The sequence below is a fragment of the Homo sapiens genome, chromosome 16 (assembly GCF_000001405.40).
Source record: "Homo sapiens chromosome 16, GRCh38.p14 Primary Assembly".
Lineage (NCBI taxonomy): Eukaryota > Metazoa > Chordata > Mammalia > Primates > Hominidae > Homo > Homo sapiens.
In genome coordinates, this window is record NC_000016.10 from 10,059,136 (window position 1) to 10,083,420 (window position 24,285).

The window sequence follows — 24,285 nt, forward strand, 5'->3', positions numbered from 1 at the left end:
GAGACAGAGGAAATGGCGACAAAGATGGAGCAGCTGCAGATGTGCTGGGCCCCACAGACTATGGGAATAGGTTTTAGTTGTGCCTTAAGTGCAGTGGGTAGCCATGGAAGCAGTGTATGCAGGGGAATAACAGATCTACATTATATTGTTTTAAAAGATTTCTTTGGACACTGAATAGAGAATGGATTGTAAAGAAAAAGATAATTGATAGAAGAGACCAGTTTAGAGGCCATTGCATTCATCCAAGTAAGAGAGTGGTGACTTGATCCAGGGCTGGGGCTACTGAGGCATCTACGGGTACAGAATTCAAGGAAGAACTCATTCTCAGGGCCATGCAAGTGCAGGATTCAGCTACCCCTGGCTTTGACTGGTGGTAGAAATGGGTAGGTTGATGATATATTTTGGAGGTAAAATCAAATTTGTTCTAAAAATTTCTGAAGTTCAGAAGCAAATAATAACTTTAGAAAGGAGCCCATGCCTCAGACAACAGAGCGTCTTAAACAACAGAGGAAGGACTTTTGACTTTCTCCTGTAGCTAATGAAGGGCCATGGAACTAAAGAAATAAAATCACACCATCGTGACCGAAAAAAAAAAAAAAAAACAAACAAGATTTTTAGAGGGTGGTGAGAGGTAAGAGGTAAGTGAAGAGAATGTTTGGGCATTATGTGTTTATACAATTTTAGATTCGTGAATGAGTTAAGACCCAGTCAGGGAAACGGAAACCACTCCAGGTGTTTCCAACAGAGATAATACAGGAAATTGGTTACATAGGAGCCACTGGGACACAGAGAGAAAAGGAAAAGAGGAAGCCATTAATATCCTAGGGATGGAGGAAAAGGGGGATGCAGGAGACATTACCAAAGTTCAGAAGCTGGGTCGCTTGGCAGTAGCAAATCCCACAGCAGGGACCACCTGATAGGAATTGGGACCCTGGAGGCTGCCCATCAAGAGCTAGATGGGGACATTCCCAAGGAAGAGGAAGTGAGGGAGAAATCACCTATAGCCTGGATAAAATATGTCCTTGCATATAGAACAGAGAAGGGAAAGGTCAGAGAAAGGATTGAGAACAATCAGGCTACCGGAGCAGACCCGGGAACAAAGTCCTCACAGCCCAATCCTCTATACTAGAAAGAGAAGGAAAATCAATAGGTACTAGGCACGAACCACATGCCGGGGTCTGTGCTTCACGTTTTCTGATGTTGCCTCAGTTCTGTCCCACACATTATCTGTTTAGCCCCTACTGTGACCTATCTTATAGATAAGAAAATTAAGGCTCAGCAAGATTCAGAAACCTACTTAGGGTTCCTCCGCTAGCCAGTGGCTAAGCTGGCACCTAAACCTATGTCTGGAGGAACCCAAAATTTATAGTCTTTCCTCTGATATCCATTGTTCTTCAAAGAGGATTATCTGCTGTTCATTAAATGCTAACTGCATGCTAAAAACTGTTCCTAGTGCTTGATCTTCAATGTATCATTTGTTCCTGCAAGAAAGTCATGATTACTTTTAGCACCATCTTCATTATCATCATCTTTGCTACTATTATTATTTTCAACTTACAGATGAGGAAATTGAGACTCAGAAAAGTTAAATATCTTGCCCCAAGTCACAAAGCTAGTAAATGGCAGATTCAAAGCCAGGGATATCTAATGAAAGCTGCGTTTCCTCTTTACGAGTGCAAGCTATATGGCCTTCCATTCATAACACACCCACAACAGTGCAAGCCAAAAACCATCCCCAAATCTAACTTCCTACCATATTGATCAAAGTATTCATTCTGAAAGACATCAGAGCAGAAACTGCTGGTTTCCCACCCAATGTCGGTTCTCCTTTTCCTTTTTAGAACTCCAGTTTAATTCAGAAACAATGTTTCTAGGTAAAATATTCTATTCCCCAGCCTTCCTCCCTATCAGAGATGACCAACAATAGACTGAAATGCTGGGGTAGGATTTCTGAGCTCTTGAAGAAGGGGCATACAGCTAGAGTGTGCCCTTTTTGCTCTTCTCCTCCTTATTCTTGTTTCCTGCTTTGAGTGTGAATGTGATGCCTGGAGCTCCAGCAGCCATCTTGGATCATGAAGCAACTTTAATGATGCAAACCATGTGCTTAAGAGTACAACAGAAATACAGGAAGAGGCTTAATCTATGAGGACACCATGAAGCCACCTTGGCAACCCTCAACCACCTACCTCCAGGCTGCTTTAATCTGAGAAGGAAATAAACTTCTCTTTTGTTTTAGCATTTCCAGGCTTATTTATTGGCAAACACAATTCCTAACCAATATATGCACCTGCCCGAATACTAAAATCCAATGAATAGAGATTCCTGAGATTCCTTTACATACTCATTTCCACTCATTCACTCTGATTTAAATACAGTCAACTGTGTGTCTCACTTTGATTGATGGGGTGCCATCAAAAGCAAAATTTTCTCCCTTGTTGCTTCTGAAAAAGACTCCCAAACCCACAGTGAAGTCAGTCTGGGGCAGAGAGAGGTGGTGTGATATTATATATGTCATTATAAACTCTAAGTGCCTCTTTTCCGAACTCTTAGAAGGTTAGTAGTGGCAAAGGCAACAAAAAAGTCACAGTGATGAATAGAACATGTTGGAAAGTGGCTCAGAGAGTAGGAATTAAAGAATGCCAGCTCCAGTAAATGTCACATATCAATCAAAAGTGAAGAAAGGGAGTTCCCTCCAAAAGTGGCAGAGGGGACACCTTCATAAACAGAACATAAAGGCCAATCGAACTCAGCAGCAAAATGGGACGTATTCAGCCAGAGCCTGTCACTTTGTACAATGGCAACAAACCATTCCGTCAGCTTCTCTGCTGAAATCAGAGAAGTACTAAAAGGGATTTTTGAAACCATTTGCTCAGTGCCTCCATTACATAGGGGAGGCAACTGAGGATCAGATAGGGTAATGGCCGGACCAAAGTCACATAAAAAATGAATGGCTGAACTGGGATGAGATGGAAACCCAGGTCCGGTACTTGCTGACTTCTCCACTGATGTACATACCTTCTTTATGGATTGCGAGTATCCACTTCTACCTAAGGCAGGAGTTGATAAGCTTTCTCTGTAAAAGGTCAAATAGGAAACACTTCAGATTACAACTACTCACCCCTGCTGTTGTAGTAAAAAGCAGCCCTAGACAGTAGAAAACAAAAAAAGTATGGCTGCATTCCAATAAAAATTTATGTACAAAAATAGCTAGCTGGATTTGACCTGTAGGCTGTAGATGGCCATGCCCTGACCTATGTCACTGGGTTCAACTGGTCACCAGACCAACAGCATCCAGACCTTTCTAGAAATGCAAATTGTCAGTCTCTTTGCCTCCAGACCTAATGAAACAAACTCCAGAAATAACATTCGGAAATCTGTTTTCACAAGCTTTCCAGGTGACTGACACACACTAAAGTTTGAAAAACATTGGGTTAACACGCCGGGCACAGTGGCTCACACCTGTAATCCCCTGTAAACCCAACATTTTGGGAGGCCGAGGTGGGTGTATCACCTGAGGTCAGGAGTTTGAGATCAACCTGGCCAACATGGCAAAACTCCATCTCTACTAAAAACACAAAAATTAGTTGCGTGTGATGGCATATGTCTATAATCCCGGCTACTCGGGAGGCAGTGGTAGAAGAATTGCTTGAACCTGGGAGGCAGAGGTTGCTGTGAGCAGAGATTGTGCCACTGCACTCCAGCCTGGGTGACAGAGCAAGACTCTGTTTCAAAAAAAAAAAAAGAAGAAGAAAAGAAAAACATTGGGTTAGCAAAAAGACACATGCACTCATATGTTCGCTGCAGCACTATTCACAATAACGAAGACATGGAATCAACCTAGGTGCCCATCAGTGGTGGATTGGATAAAGAAAATTTGGCACATATATACCATGGAATATACACAGCCATAAAAAAGAACAAAATCATGTTATTTGCCGCAACATGGATGGAGCTGGAGGACATTATCCTAAGCAAATTAACACAGGAACAGAAAAACAAATACTTCATGTTCTCACTTATAAGTGAGAGCTAAACACTGGGTATACATGGATATAAAAATGGGAATAGACACTGGGGATGATGATAAGTGTGAGGAGAGCAAGGCTGAAAAACTACCTGTTGTGAACTATGCTCACTACTTGGATGATGGGACCATTCATATCCTCAGCATCACAGAATATACCCATGAAACAACCCAGCACATGTATCCACTGGATCTAAAATAAAAGTTGAAATTATAATTTAAAAATGGGTTAGAATCATAGCAAATCACTGTGCATGAGCCCCGCCTAGCCATTTCTAGTACATAACCTGGTATTTGGCTTCTAGTAGATGCTTATGACAGCAACCATAAGCCTCCCACCCAAAAATCTATTCTCTCCTTCTTTAACATGAGAAGGAAATAAAATTCTTACTTAAGCCATTGATAATCTGGATTTTCTGTCATAAACCACCAAACTGAATCCAATTGATTTAGTATCCCGTGAATATTTGTTGAATGAATAAATAATTCTCAAGCAAATCAGAGGATCTAAATTACATGTTACAGGTAGGTTTGATTAGTACAGAACCACTGCTTCAATATACTTTTATCAGTAGATAAAATCCTCCTAAAAACAGTGTCCATAGGAGTCAAAATAATAAAAAAGAACACTAGGTGGTGAAAATATTGGAAACTTCTAGACGTACAGTAGCCTTCATTTCTTGCACCGCCAAAAGCCGGGCTGATAATGGAGCAAATACCCTCTTCCCAGGCTCCCCTGAGGAAGCTGCCACTTTATTCATGACCCCACAGTCACCGTCTCCTGGAAGCCTTTCCTAATTAGAGCCCTTCTAGAATTCTGGGATTTTATGTCTCAGCAGTATGGTGAGAACAATAGGATTGTTCTGTTCTGCTTTATTCGAATCATACTGATGTGTCATTTTTCAATGATCCTTAAGTTACTCTCAAACAGAGAGCTTTTCTTACCCATGGTAGGTTCTCAATCGATGTCTATAGAATTGAACTGACTTTGTTGGTGAGTGTTTTGTTTCTTCCACGAGAACAGATATTCCTTCAGAATCAGGGGCTGACTCTTCTATTTTTCAAACAACCCCCAAAACTAGCCACAGCAACATGCAGGGGCCCTGCATCAACAGGTACTTGAATGCTGGTAAATGCGTCCCAGGCACCTCACTTCGTTCGCCCATTTTGGTGCATCAGAACAACGTTGTCACTGGTCTAACCTCATCTTCACTCCCTGGGGACTGAGGTCTTGCCTGATTCCCAAAGCCCTGCACCAGAGATCCTCAAACATTTTCAACTAGGACTTTATCAACGGGAAAAAGATGGACAGCTTCACTCCATGTTAACCCAGCGACTCCATCAAACCTATGCTTGTTTCTACTGTTCATGCCTCTACATTGATGTTTCTCAAGCTTTTATGATCCAGGTCTCCTTGATAAACATTTTTAACCTCACATTTTCCTCTAATGCTATTTGAAATGGCAAGAGAAATTAATATGGTGACTAAAACATATCAAGAGATGTCATAGTTCAATAGACCCTGCTACTAACAACCCCAGGTGCAAATCTTTGCTTCACATGCTATTCTCTGACTCTTACTTGCATAGTCTGTTTTGACTTCTCCATGTGCTTCAGTGAAATGCAAATTACTGTTTGATCCCATGGACTAGACTATGGGGAAATCTCCATTGTTTCAGGGCAAGATTGATATTCAGCTGGTTGTTTATGGCTGGCAAGCATTCACACGGTCAGTGCATTCATCCAAACGGACGAATCCCCATGCCTCATCAATTGTTACACTTTTTCAATGTCACCTACCTAAGAAAATCAGAATACACCGTAACGTGGAGAATCCATATGCAGATAAATGAAAGAGGAGAGTCAGGACCATGCAAAAAATTACAGGGAAATTTAGCAAAGTCTGGTGATAACATAGACTCTCCACACAGCATTCAACACAAACAGAAAATTAATCTCTGATGCAATTGGGCATTCATACATGCCAGTAAGTTCTGTACTTTATTTTAAGGTACCTCGCCTGCCTGGCATCAGTTGGGAGAATTATTAACCATCATTAAATGATTAACTGTCACTAAAATGGTAGCCTGCTGCCACCCAGCCAAGAGCATGCTGTGTGGAGTTACTCACGTGAGAAAAAACTTGTTAGCAAAAGAATGCACCTGCAACCCAGAGCATCTACTCTTGTGACATTCTATTTCGGCCTCCTTGTTACAACCACGATTTTCTTTCTCTATCTAGCACAATACATATGCCACAGGAGTCTCTCAACTTCAGGTTAATTACACCCATCTCTCTAAGGTCAGATCTTCAGAATTCATCCTTTCATAAAGTTGTTTTAATGCATGTTTAAATCTCTGTCATTTGCTCACTGTGTGACTTCAGGCAAGTTATTGAACCTCAATTTTCTTATCTCTAAAATAGGGCTAATCATAGCTCCTACCTCATAAGGTTTTTAAAAGAATTCAGTGACAGCATGGATGAAGGGCATCTAGCATAGTTCTTGACTTGTAGCGTGTGCTCAGTAGTGTTAATAATTATGGAAGAGCTCATTGGCCACCAAGTGAATGCTAAGCTGGAAGAGGATTGGATACATTATTTACTCCAACCCCATCTCAAGCCAAGACTATAACCCTCTCAATTTCATGGGAGGTTGACCCTCTGTCATGACATTGGACAAACATTGGGAGGGGGGGCGCTTAACATGGTTTGGTCATTCCTCCCACGGTCTCAGGGTGATAGATACTGGGTGGAAACATGGGTCTCTTACGAATAGAGAGCTGAAAGTCACCTACCCATACCTTAAAGAGTGTTCCTTGAGAGAGGGCTTTCGGAAATGGATTTAGACATCATGAATCCAACAACTAAGAGATCATTTATCTGTCCTCCTGACACTTCCATAGTCCATCTCACCCCCAGCACATCTTAGGAACTGACTAGAAATATTCTTCAGACTTTAGAAAGCAGACGATGCTCTTCATCACGGCAGAATTTCATATCCCCCGGTGTTGGAGTGGGAGGCTGCCAGCCTTTGAAGTTTGGGATGCGTCTTCCTCTCTGTGCCTCTCAGGGGCCTTTACTTCTGCTACACTGCACATCTGGGGAGGGTTGCCTGAACACTAGCTCACGAAGTGGCCGCTGGGCTCCTTCCTGGAGTCTAATCCTGTCTGTCTCATCGTGTCCTTCTGGAAACATCACCAACTTATTTATCTCTGTCATAAAAGGAGAGGAGGAAGGAGCAGCAGAGAGTTTCAAGGTTAACCAATGTTTGCAGAGTAAAAATGGTACCTGAAGACAGATGTATGCTGCAAAATAGCAGTTCCATACAAATGCAAGAGGGCGTCAAAGTCAACAGGGACAAAACTATGGGCTATTTCATGTTCCTCACTGAGTAAGACCTCACTCACAATCACTTATTCTGATTATAAAAATGATGACCTACAAAGAGACCCATGTTTCCACCCAGGATCTATCACTCTGAGACCTTAGGATGAGTGACTGAAGCATCTTAAGCTGCCCCTCCCAGTGTTTGCTAAATGTCATGGCAGAGGGTTAACCTCCCAGGAGATTGAGAAGGTTAAATGAGATACCACGTGTGCAGAGGCCAGCATGGTGCCCAGCTCAGCAGTAGGCACTTGGGAAATGTCACCTTTAACACTGATATGTAAGACCAGCCCATCATAGCAGCATTATTCACAATAGCCAAAGGTGGGAACAACCCAAATGTCCATTGACAGAAGAACAGGTAAACAAAATGTAAATACATACAATTAAATATTAGCCAGCGTTCAAAAACAAAGGACATTCGGATACATGCTACACCAGCACACTCCCTAGCTCACGATATTTTAAGTGGATGAATAAATGAATGAGCAAAAAAAGAGCACCCTACCTCTAACTGGATCCCCCAGCTGTGAACTCTCTCACATTTTTTCTCTAGCAAATTCCCTCTTTTTTGCTGTTTCTTTCTCCTCTTTTCTGTTCTATTCTCTTTCTTCATCCCCTATGCTTTAAAAGACACTTGCATCTGGGGCTTTTTCTGAAGCCGTTTTTTCCCTCATTTTTTTCTGTCCACAAAACAGCAGGAAATAATTTGCTTTAAATCCACATAAAATACCCACGAAAAATTCACACTCCATCTCTGAATGAGGAGGCTAGGTTTTTCCAACGGTGGAGCCACAAAAGTCTGTTTTGACAAGTTATCTCCCCGTAAACATACTGGTTTATCTCATGCTGAACAATTAGATGTGCTATTTAGGCAAAATAAAAAATATATTGCACATTTTCTAGACAGCCTGTTAGCATCCATGCCAATGACACGAACATCAGGACATGGGGCTGATATTAAAGTAACCAGAAACACAAATGTGTATTGCAACACTCGGAACATTGCCATCTGTGTGTTGCATGCCCGGAGGGACACCCAGGGAGGACTGCGTGAAGACAGGGTGAGAAAGAGTCCAGGAGAAAAACAGCAGCTGAGAGGAGTGGGGTGGGCAGGGATTGGAGTAGAAGCAGATGGGAGGCTGAGATTACCCACAGGCTAAGCCAGTGGTTCTATACTGGGGACACATTCCCACCCCCACCCCAAGGGACATTGGCAATGTCTGGATGCATGAGGGTTGTCATAAATTGGGCAGGGGGTGCTACTAGCATGGCATGGGTAGAGGCTACATGTCCTGCAATGCGTATTATATCCACCCCCTCCACCCCACAGCAAAGAATGATGTGGTCCCAAATGTCATGATGCCAAAGCTAAAACAACTCCAGGCTAAGATGAAGCAGAGTACAGATCAGCTCTGCTACTCAGTGGCTGTGGAACTTGGGCAGGTTAATTAAACTCTCTAGGCTACAAGATGGCTGAAAGCCATCTGTGGGATAGATGAGATGAGATGGCAGATGTGCAATGCACATAGCAGCTGTTTCCATGAATGCTAATCCCTTTTATGCTCTCCTTGTGGTCCTCTGCTTTCCCAAAGCGTATTTATTTACTAATTCACTCAGTTCTTTAACCAACATGTATTGAGTGTCTACTCTGAGCCTGGAGCTGGGTGCTGGATATTCAACAACAGATAAGAAAGGCAGAGACCCTGTACTAGTCTGTTCTTGCATTGCTATAAAGAAATACCTCAGACTGGGTAATTTATAAAGAAAAGACGTTTAATTGGCTCACAGTTCTGCAGGCTTTACAGGAAACATGGTACTGGCATCTGCCTGGCTTCTGGGGAGGCCTCAGGAAGCTTACAGTCATGGTGGAAGGTGAAGGGGGAGCAGGCACATCACATGGCCAGAGCAGGAGAGAGTAAGTCTTGGGGGGAAGTGCTATACACTTTTAAATGACCAGATCTCAAAGTAACTCGGAGCAAGAGTTCACTCAGTACCAAGAGTGTGGCCCAAGCCATTCACAAGGGATCCACCTCCATGATCCAAACACTTCCCACCAGGCCCCACCTCCAACACTGGAGATTACAATTCAACGTAAGATTTGGGCAAGACATCCAAACCTTATCAATTCCCCCATGGATCATCTAATGTATTGGGAGAGGCAGATAATAGATAATGTACAAACCAAACTAAGGTTAGTGCCATGAGAGTAAAGGACAGAGGCCAGAGACTAACACCCAATCTAGGGTGATCAGGGAATCTGTCTCTGGGGAAGCGACATTGAAGCAGAGACCTGAAGGATGGCAGAGTTTTGGGGATTGGTGCTGGTTCCAGACAGAGAGAACCAAATACACAAAGACTCTAAGAAGGAAAGAAAACAGGGTATGTTCAAAACTGACAGAGAGCACAGGTGACAACTGACAGAGCACAGGTGCGTGGTGGGGAGCAGGTGGCAAGAGGAGAGGGATAAGACAGGTGGGTAAGGACCCCGCAGTTCATGAGAAGGCACCTAGGTTCTAGCCACCAAGATGTCATGAGAAGCCCTTAAAGGCTATTCAGAAGAGAAGTGACCTGATCCAATTTACCCTGGCTGCAAAGGAAAGGATGAAGTAGGGGAGGAGTAGAGGTAGAAGCAGGGAGACCAGTGGAGGCTGCTTCATCTACAGCTCCAGATGGTGATGATGGTGGTAGCACTGGAGATGAGGAAGGATCTGAGATATACATTTGAAGGAGAATAATTATACATTGCACTAGACTCTGGTGGGGATGAGAGAAAGAGAATGTTCCACCATTCACTGGGTGGTCAGGCTGGGCAGCCAAGGTTAAAAGGCTAAGTGTCATCCAGGGAAGAGACCATCACACGATTTGAGGTTGCTGAGAACAGACAACACACACACCAGGCTCAAGTGGTAGAGCAAGAGGAGACAGACTACACAAGATGCAGTCCCTTGCAATGCGTCAGTCCCCCACAGCCAGTGGATCTGCTCTGCAGTCAACCCAGGCAGTGCAGCTGCACACACCCACCTCGTGCTGCAGTAGAAGGACCCAGATCCCTTTCCACCAGGGACAGATATAGTAGCAGGTTTGGCCAGGGGCCATTAGATGCACACACTTGAGCAGAACAAAGTACATCAAGCCCAGAACAGGGAAAGATATTTCCAGGCAAAGAGATATGCCCAGCCCAGGCTGGGAGGGCTCTTCATCTCTTGTTAAGGAAATGTTTCAGGCCCAAGGCCACTCATACAGCCATACAGGGTCCAGCAAGCTGTGCATGACCACCTTTCCCAATGCAGTGAAGGATAGATCCCACGTCTTGGGCTTAGGCAGTTAGGTGGATGGTGAGTGCAATTACTAAAGAGAGAAAGACCTGGGAAGGAACAGTTAAGGGTGGGGAGCAAGAGGAAGACAATCAAGAAATGCTCAGTACCTGTGGGTTCCCTCTTGCCTATCCACCCCTCCCTCCTACTTCTGTTTCTCTAAGCTCAATGACAATGTTCCCCACTCCAGCAGCTCTAGAATTCATTCATACCTGGGACTTCAGTGGCAACGTCTGCTCTTCTCTACCTGAGTGGTAGCCAGGAAGTCTGAGTCTTCATCCTCAACTCGGGGAAGTCCTGGAGCCCTTCCCTGGACATGGGTCCCCGAGATGCCAGCAATGTTTTCTAGGTGCCCCAGGTGCTCCTGCACCACCTCGAAGCACCTCCATTTAGGCCTCCTGACTTTGTTTACCAAGCACGCCTCTAGCCTCGCTACTCACAGTGGGGTCCATGGGCCAGCAGCATCAGCATCTCCCAGGAGCTTCTTAGAAGTGCAGAGTCTCAGGCTCCAGCCCAGACTTGCTGAACTGGAATCTGCATTTTAACCAAATCCCAGGTGATTTGTGCATGCGTGTTAAAGTTTGAGAATCACTGGTCCACAGCTCAGAAGCCAGCCATCTACAACATTGCCATATGTCAGTTATTTGTAATTACAGTTAAAAAAAAATGCTACCAGCGTGGCCTGGGATGATTTGTTCTTAAACTTCAAGGGCTGCTTGAAGCCCGAGATCCTAGTGACACTGAGATATTTATAAGGTTTCCCTTCGTATTCTCTGAGCACTCCTCTCATCATCAGATTTTCCAGATGATAAGTTTTTAGCAGGCCCTTCTTCCCCCTCTACTCCTGTGTGGACCTCTGGGCTGCCTTTTTCAGGTTTTGCAAACTGGCTATGAATTGTTCAGCGGTTGGATTAGCCAGTTCTGCAGACTGCCTCACACGCAGACCATCTGGACCGCTTATAGAGAAGACATGTTCCAAGTACCCTCTTTCCTTTGTCTGCTTTTCTCATGGGTACTTTGCCCTCTAAGAAGCCTACTTTCCTCTTTTCCTCTCCTCCTCTCCCTATTTCTCTTTGTTGAGAGAGCAGTCAGATTAACCCAACAACTCTTGGAGTGCCTTGGTCACCTGAGAGCATGGAAAGTCCATGCCCTCACCAGAGTAATGACTACCATTTCTCCAAAACTCTCCTCATGCCATCCGATAGGCAGTATTGATCAGAAGGGGAAATCTAGTGTGTTAAAATTGATAAACCAGCTTAAGTAATACCTACATAAAAGAACCATGCCTAGCACATGGCTGAATGTTGAATACTGTTGCATGGAAATTTGGGATTTCTAGTTAGAGGCTTTATAAAGGTAGAATCATGCAGACACATATACCTGGAAATATTCGGAACATTCTATTAGCAGAAATGCAATGTAGGAAGCTTATTGGTTCTAGAAGAATGTGTCATTGTCAGTAATTGGAATTACTGACAGATCCAGTTGAAGTAAGGGGAAAACCACAAAGAGTCTGTACTCTTAAAACTGCAATAATAGAGTCAAGGAGTCTTACGGGACGAGCCATGAATCTTGTTAAGAATTTGGGCATGTATCTCTTCTGGTTGTCCTGATTATGTAAGTCCCTTCTTCACCCTAATAACACTGTATTGAGAAAAACTTCAAGTGCATTATGCCCCCAGGATGAAGCTATACCTTGTTAACAAAAGCTGTGCCTATAGAAAGGGATTGGAGTGGAGTTTGGGAAGGCATTGTATAGAGGACAAATGATGAGTCTCACCAGACAGGGCTCAGGTGGTAAATGAAAGGGATGTACTGAGCCTGTACTCTTGAGAGCATTTTGGGCACAGTACCTGGCTGCTGCTTCTATCACCAGTATGGTCCCAAGCACCAGCCCTGCCTGCCACTATCACTTCTTGAAAGGCAACCCAAGAGGAGAAGTGGACGGGAGCCGACACCAGGCAGGGGTTAAATTGTTTATATGCATCATCTTGTTTAATTTTTAAGACAACCCTATAGGTACAGTACTTTTGTTTATCTCCATTTCACAGAGAAGGAAATGGAGGCACAGAAAGGTGGGTAGGTTGCCCACCTAAGTGATAGAGCTAAAATTCAAACCAGGCAGCCTGATTCCAAAGCCCACACTCTTGGCCACTACATAAAAGATTCTTCACCAGAATGACCTTGGTACCATAGGTTCATGATCAGAAAGTGATGATACCTCTATCTGGGGACTTGGAAACATCCATAGCTCCTTCAATGAGCCCAGGACAATCTTTCACCATCGTGAGAGTGAGCAAAGATGTCTCAAGTGATGCCCTTTGTGGTTAAGCATCATGAGGCTGTTGCATTCCCTGCTGGTAGGGAAATTGGAGGTACGTGCACATTCCATCCCTTGCAATTCTGTACCTTCCATTTGCAGCATGAGAATAAACAACAAGTTGAAATGTGTTTATAAGAGTGAAGCATCAACTTCCAAATCCAGCTGACCTGTGTGGGTTAAAGGACTTAGCAAAGAGAAACAAGTACCTACAATTTTATGGCTCCGATGCCTCTCAGCTTTGGCTGCAATTTGGAAGTACCCAAGGAGCTTTAAAAACTACTGAAGCTGGGGTCCCATGCCCTGAGTTTCTGTTTTGATTTGTCTGCACTGTGCCCTAGGATGGAGGGAAGTTGTAAAGTTCTCCTAGGTGATTATAGTATGCAGTCAAGTTTGAGAACCACTGGACTTAGCCTCTCTTGGGATCTCAGAATAAGTTTGGGTGGGTAGGCTTCTAGAATAAGGCAGTGCCTCTAAAGACGTGGTCTGTGGACCCCCTGACATCAGAATCACCTGGGAATCTGCTTAAACATGTGCATCCTAGGCTCTATCCCTAAATTTAGATTCAGTATTTCTGGGGAATATCCCAGGAATCCACATATTTAACAAGTTATCTGGGTGATTGTCTGTGCTCACTGAAGTTTGGGACACTAGAGAATAGAGAGTAGTCAAAGCCTATGGCTGGTTTTCATTATGGTGGAGAAGCAGAAGGAAAAATGTGCTCAGAGGCAGAGGCAAGATGAGGAAACTCAGTGACAAGACCCCCTTTTTTTTTTTTTTTTTTTTTGAGACAGAGTCTCTTTTCGTTGCCCAGGCCCAGGCTGGAGTACAGTGGCCCAAGCTCGGCTTACTGCAACCTCCTCCTCCCTAGTTCAAGAGATTCCCCTCCCTCAGCCTCCCAAGTAGCTGGGATTACAGGCACCCACCGCCACGTCTGGCTAGTTTTTGTATTGTTAGTAGAGATGGGGTTTCACCATGTTGGCCAAGCTGGTCTCAAACTCCTGACCTCAAATGATTCACTTGCCTTGGCCTACCAAAATGCTGGGATTACAGGTGTGAGCCACCGTGCCCAGTCAAGATCCCGTAATTCTTGAGCATTCCTGAAACCTAGGGAAAGATGGAAAGTGCTTGCAGGCAAGGCCCATGGAAGACAGAAAAATCATTTATAGACTGCAGTCTCTAAAGACACAGGAGTGTTTTACCACATGCTGATATCACGCAGGGTTGGTCTGGGGAAGGGATTCTGAAGCCAGGGGAGGTAGTTTTGGCCACTGAAGTCCTGGCTCAATGGAATCACTTCTTCCCTCTCAGCCTGACAAAGCAAAGTGGGCTAGTCCCATCTTCCTTACCTCCAAAACCAGTACAGCATTAAGAAATTCCTAATCTACCGTGATGTGTGAGGGTCAAAAAAGTGGGCCTAGAGGTGAAAAATGGATCATAGACAAAATATTAGACATCCTTCACCCTTTGTCAAAATTAAAAACTTTTATTCATCAAAGGGCACTATTAAGAAGTGAAAATACGACCAGCCTGGCCAACATGGTGAAACCGCATCTCTACTAAAAATCCAGAAAAAAAAAAAAAATTAGCCGGGCAACAGTAGCACGTGCCTGTAATCCCAGCTACTCAGGAGGCTGAGGCAGGAGAATCACTTGAGCCTGGGAGGCGGAGGTTGCAGTGAGTGAGCTGAGATCGTGCCACTGCACTCCAATCTGTGTGACAGAGTGAGACCCCCGTCACAAAAAAAAAAAAAACGAAGTGAAAACACGACACACAGAAAATATTTGCAAATTATATATCTCATAAAAGTCTAGTATCCAGGGTACATAGAGAACACTCACAACTCAACAATAGAAAGGCGACTCCGTTTTTAAAAAAGGCAAAGGGTCTCAATAGACATTTCTTACAAGATGGCATACAAACAGCCACTAAGCACATAAAAATATGCTCAATACAAACAGTGATTAGAGAAATGCAAATCAAAATCACAATCAGATAGCACTTCACACTCACCAGGATGGCTAAATTCAGAAGAATGGAAATAACAAATGTTGACCAGGATGTGGAGAAATAAGAAACCCCGTACACTGATTGTGAGAATGTAAAATGGTACAGCTGCTATGGAAAACAGTACGACAGTTCTTCAAAAAGCTACACATAGAACTCCTATATGATCCAGCAATTCCATTTCTAGGTATGTATATACCCAAGAGAACTGAAAACAGATGTTCAAACAATAACTTGTATGTAAGTGTTCATAGCAGCATTACTGATAGCAGCCAAAAACTGGAAACAATCTAAACATCCTACAATCAATGAAGGGATAAACAAGATATGATATGGCCATTCAATGGAATGTTATACACCCATAAAAAGGAATGAAGTACTGATACCTTCTACAACATGGATGGGCATTGAAGACATTATGCTAAGTGAAGGAAACCAGACGCAAAAGGCCATGTATTATACAATTCCATTTACATGAAATTTCCAGAATAGGCAAATCCATAGAGACAAAAAGTAGATCCATGGTTTCTAGGGCTGGGGACAAAGGGAGACAGAGTGACGGCTAAAAATATGAGGTTTCTTTTTGTGGTTTTGGAACTGTTCTAGAATTAGGGAGTGGTGATGGTTGCACAATATAGTCAATATACTAAAAAGCATTGGACTGTGAACTTTAACATGATAAATTTTATGTGAATTATATCTCAAAAACATTTAAACGTAAGACTAGGTATCACTTATTGACCAATTTCTCCTTGCTGGCCTAAGTGCTATTATACATAGATAAAATTTCTGGCTCAATCCTTCAAAGAATCCTCCAATGAAGGAGTTTCCATTATTATCAAAGGACAGCCCAGTGTAGGCATTGAGAATGTGGTTCTGACGCCAGGCCACATGGGTTAAAATCTCAGCCCTGAACTTGCTGGGACTTTGCATGGGTCCTCTCCTATGCAGTTTCCTCATCTGCATGTCGGGGAATATAATGGTATCCAGTACCTGGCGCGTAGTCAGCACCTAGTAAATTTTGGTTGATCACTTAAAGGTCCTCCTCCCTCCTTCCCTTTCATCCTGAGTTTGAGAGTTTCACAGTCATACTAAATCAGATTAGGAAACTGAGCCCTAGAGAAATGACGTGACTTGTCTAAAGTCCCGTATCACAAAAAGATAAATTTGTATGCCTCTACTTATATGGGATACCTAAAATAGGCAAATTTATAGAGACAGAAAGTAGAATAGTAGTTACCAGGGACCAAGCAGCGGGGCGGAATGGAGAGTGATTGCAAGTAAGTACAGAGACTCGATTTGGAACGATGGAAAAGTTCTGGAGATGGATACTGATGATGATTGCACAACAATGTGAATGTACTTAACGCCACTGAACTTAAAAATGGTTAGAATAGTAAATTTTAGGTTATATATATTCTACCACAATAAAAAGGAACCAGTCCATCAAAATGAGTGTCATCCAGGACAGTCACCCTACAGGGCACCTTGATGACACATATCAAAGTCTTAAAAATAAGCCCTTTGACTAACACATTCTGTACTAGGAATTTCTCATAAGAAAATAATCAGACAAGTGTTAGAAGGACATTCATCTCGTCAATATCTAAAATAATGCCTCTAGCTGCTCTAAATATCCAAAATAGAGAATTAAATATAATTAATATGCTAAAAAATTAAAAATTAAAAAATAAAATCCTACAACTAGTGTTTATAACTCTGGGCTCTGAACCCAGACAGAGGGACTCCAGAAATTCCCTTAGCCACTATGCTTCTAGACAGTGAGAAAATCCAAACCACTCCCTTTTTCAATGCAAGGAAGTTCATTCCGAGACCCATCTGCAAGAGTGAAAAATGCGCCCATTGTGCTACCTGTAAAAAGCATGGCAAAATGTGAATGTTCCTTAGGATCGGACATAGGGCTAACCAGACCATTCTCCCAGCCCAGCACCTGGGACATCAGGAAGCAAAGTGGGTTGAGGATCCCATCCCCATAGGCCTTCCTCTGAGTCACTGGTGCAAAGTCTGTCCTGCTGCTTGTGTTTGTTTACCCTCTTTCCTGCATTAGGTACAGCTAAGCTTTGCAAATTAACTCACAACAGGATCCAGTGGGCCTTGACCCAAAAACCATCCACAGGAGAATGTTGACGAGGCAACAACTGCTGCATCCATCCCACAAAACCCCTAGCCACAATGCCAAGTTTGTATCCAGAGTGGCGACGGTGGGGACCTAAAAGCTAAAACAAGAGCTCAGCAGGGTTAGGGTCTGCCATGAACTCTTACCAGGCAAGGCAGGGTGGAGACACATGTCCGTGGCCCTCCCACGCACTAGGATCTGTATGATGCTCCTCATCTAAGAGATGAGTTTGGTTTAAATTTGAACTCAAACTGTATTCTTGTCACAGACAATCCAGAGCACTCTCTGGGGTGTGGCTCTGAGACACACAAGGAGGAAAAGACCCAAGTTCTACCTCAAGCAGCTCATAGTCTGGAGGAGAAAGAGCTATGACGACTGAACAAATGCAGAAAGTAAATATGGAAGAGTCGAGAGCACTGTGAACATTCCATCTGCAGCTACCTACACTTCTGAAAAGCCAGACTCAAACATCAAAGTCTCTCCTTGCATCTCCACCAGGATATGTGTGTAGTAGGCAGAGCACTGGTCCCCAACAAGGTCCACACCCTAATTCCTGGAACCTGTGAGCATGTTACCTTACACAGCAAAGGGGACTTGGCAAATGTGATTCAGTTAAAGATCTTCAGAGGGGAATTTATCCTGGATGACCTGCGTGGGGCCAATATCATCACCAGGGTCACAAGTGCAGAACCTTTCCTGGCTTTGGGTAGAAAGAGATGTGACTTCAGAAGAAAGGCACAGAGGAATGCAATGTTGCTGGCACTGGAGATGGAGGAAGCGACCACAAGCCAAAGGGTACAGGCAGCCTCTAAAAGCTGGAAAGCCCAGTAAATGGATTCTCCCCTGCAGCCTCCAGAAAGAACACAGCACTGCACCTTGATTTTAGCCCAGTGAGATGTGGGTGACCAGTAGGATTATAAATTGATGTGCTTTAAGCCACTGTGTGTAATTTGTTATAGCAGCAAAGGGAAAAAATACTAATAGGATGTGTAACAGGCATCTCAAGTCTATCATCCATCTCAGCCACATTAGCCCCTGACTTCGTTGCTGAGGCCAAACATTTTGGTGGCATCTCCAACTCTCCTCTTTCTCTCATTCTGCACAAATCCATCAGTAAACCCAGTACATCCCACACTCTCACCACTGCCACTACAAGTTTGGTCCATGCCACCTCTCACCTGGATGACTTCTGTTTCCACCTGTGCCCTCTTACAATCCAGTATCAACAGTGAAGCCAGAATGGCCCCATTAGTCCATGTTTATTATCTGCCCCAAACCCTGCAATGGTGTTTCAGGCAAGACCTTGCACAGTCCTACAAGGCCCTTTAGAGTTTGGCCTCCGGTTACCTTTCTGCCCTCATCTCCTTCCATCCCCAAGCCAGCTTGGCCTCTTAAATGCTTCTGAAACACACTGGAAAACACCCCCACCTCAGGGCCTTTGCATATGCTATTTTCTCTCCTTGGAATGCTCTTCTGCGTAGCCCACTCCCTTTGAAGCCTCTTTAGGGTCTTTATCCAAATACCATTTTTTTTGGTGATACCTTCCGTGGCATCATATTTAAGACTGCAGCCTTATCTCTGACGTTTCTTGTCTCCAAGGTAAACTCAGGCCTGGATCAGACAGCTCTGCTTTTAGCCATCCACGTGAACCAGGATAAGGTATTTCTCTCTCTAAGCCTCTTTTTCCTCATCTGCAAAATGCGGTTGTGGTAAGGGCTGAATACCATTGTGGTGATGGTTCCACAGGTATATGCCTACATCAGCACTCATCCAGCTGTGCGGTTTATTGCATGTCAATGCCTCAATAAAGCTGTTAAATTAGAAAATGTTAGTAATAATAATGACAACAACAATAATGAAGTGCTTAGTCCACGGATTGAAACATCTTCATAACATGTGAGACACTGTTGCTCTGTGGTCCAGTGTGATGAACAAACACCACAGAGCTTTACCAGCCAAGTGCCTGGAACCGTGCTGGGGAAATGACAGCCTCGTCTGTTCCTCGTGACCACACTCTCGGTGGGTATAATGCCCACTTCACAGGTGGACAAAGTGAGACTCAGGAGCCACACATGTAGAATGTTCTAGAACACAGAAAGTCCTCTTTCCAGCATGTCCTTGTGGCAGATTAGGCAAGACAAGGGGGGAAAAGCAGAGTCCAGGGGGGAGGCAAATTGAGATGCAGGAGGGAAGGAGATAAGAGCAATAGGGAATCCTCAGAGCACCTGGCAGGCCCCCAGCCCCTGGGGGCAGGAGAAGCCAGGCCACGTAGTCATGTCCCCATGGAGAATGCAGCTGCTCCTCTGTGCTCTGCCCTCGGTTGCTACTGCCCTGCGAGGCAACCTCGAGGCTGGGAATCTCCTCCTTTCTCTGTCTGCAGCAGCTGCAGTGAAACAAAGGGCACAGCCCCCTTCAGGCCAAGAGAGGTGAGAAGCTGCTGGGGAGCTGATGTCACCACTACCCCCTCCGAAGCCCATCCATGGGGCACAGTGCACTCCACTGGCAGATCCCGGAAAGGGAGCATGCTGACTGACTGGCTGACTGACTGCCTGCCACATCACCGTCTCTGCATTGCAATTGCAAACACTGTTGTGCATTCTGAATCCCCAGTGTCTTTCTGTTTTTCACCAGCCATGATCATGACAGTGACAACAATAACAATACAGCCTTATGCTCATAGCTCCATTCATTCAAACAGCCATGCAACAACACCTGAGATTTGTTGTGCATCTGTGAGGACTGAAGGTCCGAGCTCCTTCCTCCAACCACCCATACCACACTCACTGAGGACTCACTAGGTGTCAGGCACCATCTTAGCACAAATAAGATACACAAGGCCTGTGCCTTTGGGAGCTTAATTTCTAGTAGGGACTGGAGGAGAGGGGCATATGGATAATAACAACCAAAAAAAATGGTAATGTCACAGTATGATAAAGGCTGTGAAAGAAATAAAGTGCAAGCTAGAGAATAATAGGAGAGAACTGACTGGGTAGTCAGGGAAGGCCTCTTAAGGAGTTGGCCTTTAAGGGGAGACCTGAAGAATGAGATGGAGACAATGCAGCCATGTTTCAGGCAGAGGAAAACGCTAAGCCCATGGGGTAGGCACTATGGTCTGAATGTCTGTATCCCTCCAAAATTCAGATGTTAAAACCTAATCCTCAATGTGATGGTGTTAGGAGGTAGGGCCCTTGGGAGGTGATTAGGTCATGAGGGCCAAGCCCTCATAAATGATATTCATGCCCTGATAAAAGAGGCTCCAGAGAGATCAACGGCCCCTTCCATTACCAATGAAGAACAAAACAAAATGATGACAGCCATCTATGAAAAAGGAAGCAGGCCCTCACCAGACATGAATCTTCTGGTGCCTTGACCCTGGACTTAAGCAGCCTACAGAACTATAAGAAATAGATGTTTGTTGCTTACAAGCTACCCAGTTTATGACATTTTGCTATAGCAGCCCAAACAGACTAAGAAAGCAGGAAAGAGCTTGGCACAGGCTGGGAAGAAGTGACAGAAAGAAGGTTGCTATGATAACGCAATGGTGTAATCAGTGTGATTTTTATGTGTTTGTATCAGAGAACCCTGGGTGCAATTCCTGTATGAAGAATTGCATGAGCACTTTGTATGAGAATGAGCAAGTTACCCTCTGTGCAATGCTGCTCTCAGCGAGCAAATAAGAATGATCATGGAACTGAATTGATGGCACTTTTGTGCATATTAATCAAATTGATTCATGTAAAGTACTTAATACACCACATACAGTAAGTGCTTAATAAATGCCAATTACTGTTCTTATCATCTCCCTGCCTGGTTGCCACAACAGCAGAGTATATTCAGGGCTTAGCACTGAGATCTGATTTGCCTCTGTAAGGTCCCCTGTTAAGTTTCTTGCTGTGGTTCTCACTCCCAAGGCAGTCATCAAATATTTGTTGAATGAGCAAATAAATCAATGAATGGGTTTCCTGATTACCTTATCTTTAAGCCACCAAAAGGCACCTTTTTATGATTAGGCTTCCTTTGCAAGCAATGTGACTCTGCCAGGCCCTGGGCTTTTGCAGAAAGCGAAGGTGGAAGGGAGATGGTTATTAGCCACTGTCTCTGCAAACGACAAGCCATCTGCACCCCGTTACCTAAGCATAGACCTCTGTGGGTGCCAAACTTCAGAGCCCAGAAAGTTGGAAGGGATTCCGAGCTTGGATCCCTCAGGCTAGGCTATTCTTGGAAGCCGAGCAACACGCCTGCCACAGGGAAATGAGTCATGCAGAGGCTGAAGGCTTGATGGATTTCTCCACGGCAGCAGCTATTTATCAGGGTAGATCTATACACCACAGAACACAAAGGGAGCGATGGAGTACAGATGAGCGCTACTTAAAGCAATATCACCCTCACCTTGTATTGCAGATCCTTGTATTGCAGCCAGATGACAATGCCTGGGACCCTCTTACCATCCAAACACCCACCTCAAGGAGGCCCAGCCCTGTCATATGACTGTCCCCATTATACTTGAACAGCCTTTGAAGGGCTTTCAAAGTGTTTCCCAGCCACATCTCCACCCTCCAAGCTCAGGTAGCCCATTCCTTCATTCCCGTCTCAAATGTTCTGCCCCAGTGAATATCTTCGCCTCCCTGTTAGACTCTGAGATCTTGTACTGCAGAATCCACTGTTGCTCATACAATTCTGAGTTGTACCTGAGGGCAGAATCAGAGTGGTCTTTTTGCCTTTTGTGTTTGCAGAGTCCCAACTGCAGAAGAGAGTGACATGCCATAAACAGGTCAAATGTCGTTAATATAAATATCTACCATGGGGCAATTTCCGAGGCTCTTACATGCTTCGTCCTGAGGTTAGCATGAGGCAACTGCACTCACTGCTACGCCTTCCCACACTTATTCTAAGGGACAGCCAGCTAGGATGGAGTGGGAGCTGATGCCCTGGATTAAGGTGCCTGGTTAATTCCACTTGCCTGGTTTCCTTTGTTCTCAAACTCTGCCTGGAGATGAAGCTATTGCGAAGTCAGTCTCAGCTTGTGCTTCTAAGTTCTGCTCCTTACATATGCCCCCAGAAAGTTGTTCCAAGTGAAGGCAGCTTAATTAAAAACCACATTCAATCAAACTGTCACTTTGTTTATGAAAAAGTGTCTAGTGGCTGGAAATGGCAAGAACAAGCACTGAAGATTAATGCTCTAAATTTTTTCTGATTAAAAGTATGATTGAGGCATTAAGAAAGCTAGCTCCATGAACCCAGGGCAGGCCTTAAGCCCAACATTTTGCCATCTTCAAATACAACTGGGGATAGTTGTAAAAACAAATAGAACTTCTCTCTGCCTAGAGGTTTCCTTTCATGAAGATAAAGTTTCTAGCTGGAACTGGCTGTTTTTGCAGGGAAGCACACATGAGACAAGCTTTTTGGAGTCTCTCCAATACCTGCCTGTTTCATAAATGGCACAGTCTCCAAATCTGATGCTCACTGGACCAGGGTCAGGCTATGGAACTGATTAAAATAAGTAGGAACCTCCAAGGCCCTATGTCCCTACTCTCCATTTTCAGATTGGTAAGCTGAGACCTATGTACTGGAAAAATAAGCTCAAGGGCTCCAAGTAGAAATAGTTGTAGTCCTGGAGTCAGCCTTGGGTTTAGCTCCACTTCCAAAATGTGTCAACTTATAGAACCCTTATTTTTTCATAGGGTTATGAAGCCACTGGTCTATTTTATCCAACAGAGAAATCAGCTCCAAGCAAATCCCACCTGGACACAGTGTCTTTGCCTGACTCCAGAAACAAGATGGCACTCTGTCTCCAGTGGTTCCACTTTACCTAGATTTGGAGCCTCCAAAACATTGTATGGCCACACTCCATCTCTGCCTACGATGGAATTATGAGAGAGCTTTGGAAAATGGCTGTTCCAAAAGTGGTAGTCTTAACACAAAGATCAGGAAGAATATTTGATTTGGATTACCAGCCACAGCAGGCAGAATTCTAAGATGTTCCCAAAGTGATAGTCTTAATCCACAGGAAGAATATTTGGTTTGGATTACCAGCCACAGTAGGCAAAATTCTAAGATGACCACCAATGACCCATGTCCTTGTGTGATCTCCTCCCCTTGAGTACAGGTGAACCTGTGAATATGATAGGACATCGCTTCTGTGATTATGTTACATCATATGGTAAAAGTGACAAGATTTTGAAGATATCATTAAGTTCCCTAATCAGCTGACTTTGAGTTAATCAAAAGGGAGATTACCCAAGGTGGGCCTGGCCTCATCAGATGAGCCCTTTAAAAGAAGGCTTAAACCTTCCCTGTGCTCAGAGACTGGAAGCAGCAGAGCCCTCCTCCACTCTCCATCACTGGTTTTGAAGAAGGAGGCCTCTTTGAGTGGCCTCCTCATTTCCCATGAGATAATAAATGGGTGTCACCTGCTAAGTTGGTGGTCGGTTGTTACACAGCAATAGATAGCTGATACACAAGCCAAGAACAAATAATACCTACAGCAGTCAAGATAGTGATGATGTCAGTGCCGAGATGAGAAACTAGCACCAGACATTCTCCCACATGGGCTTCCTTTAATAATAATAAAATAGAAAAATCTTCAAAACCTAACTGGCCCATTTTCTTTTCCTGTCATTCTTTTTTAAAATTAAAAGCCAACATGGGTACCCAGGGCTGACTTGATCACAGCATGATTAAATGCACTTCCTCTAGAAGTTAGGGAAAAGAGGACTCAGTGAGCATAGGAAGAGGAACAAGTTTCTCTTTGCAAAAACATAAAAAAATAAAAAATTTTCAAAGAAAACATCCAAGTCTCAAACCTCAAACCTCAAACCACTTCATCCAAGAAGAAACCCCCACATTTGTCATTTGCAGAAGCTACAGTAGAGACAATGCAAACAGGAGCTAGTTCTGGGTGTGCAAATCTGTGACAGGTGTGCAAGGCACAACCAGTCCTTGCGTGATTTCTTCCAACCGCAGACTCCACGAGTGCTTATGTACATGAGAAGACGTGTGTGGCCCCTGGGAGAAGGGAGCAACCATTAGGACACAATATTTAATGAAGTGCTAAACTGTGCATGGCTGGGTTTAAATGGTGACCTTTGAGTAAAGC

The 24,285-nt window shown here is 44.0% G+C and overlaps 1 protein-coding gene across 7 annotated transcripts in view, besides 1 other annotated feature; it reads right to left on the reverse strand.

Annotated features, from left to right (window-relative positions):
* Nucleotides 1–24,285, reverse strand: part of GRIN2A (glutamate ionotropic receptor NMDA type subunit 2A) — a 429,505-nt gene that overhangs the window by 305,732 nt on the left and 99,488 nt on the right. The window lies entirely within an intron of this gene.
* Nucleotides 19,457–19,751: a silencer, noted in NCBI's record as "tiled region #8841; HepG2 Repressive non-DNase unmatched - State 20:ReprD, and K562 Repressive non-DNase unmatched - State 13:Ctcf". NCBI's record gives its function as "represses a minimal TATA promoter and a strong SV40 promoter by Sharpr-MPRA in HepG2 and K562 cells {active_cell/tissue: HepG2 | K562}" and the evidence as "EXISTENCE:reporter gene assay evidence [ECO:0000049][PMID:27701403]".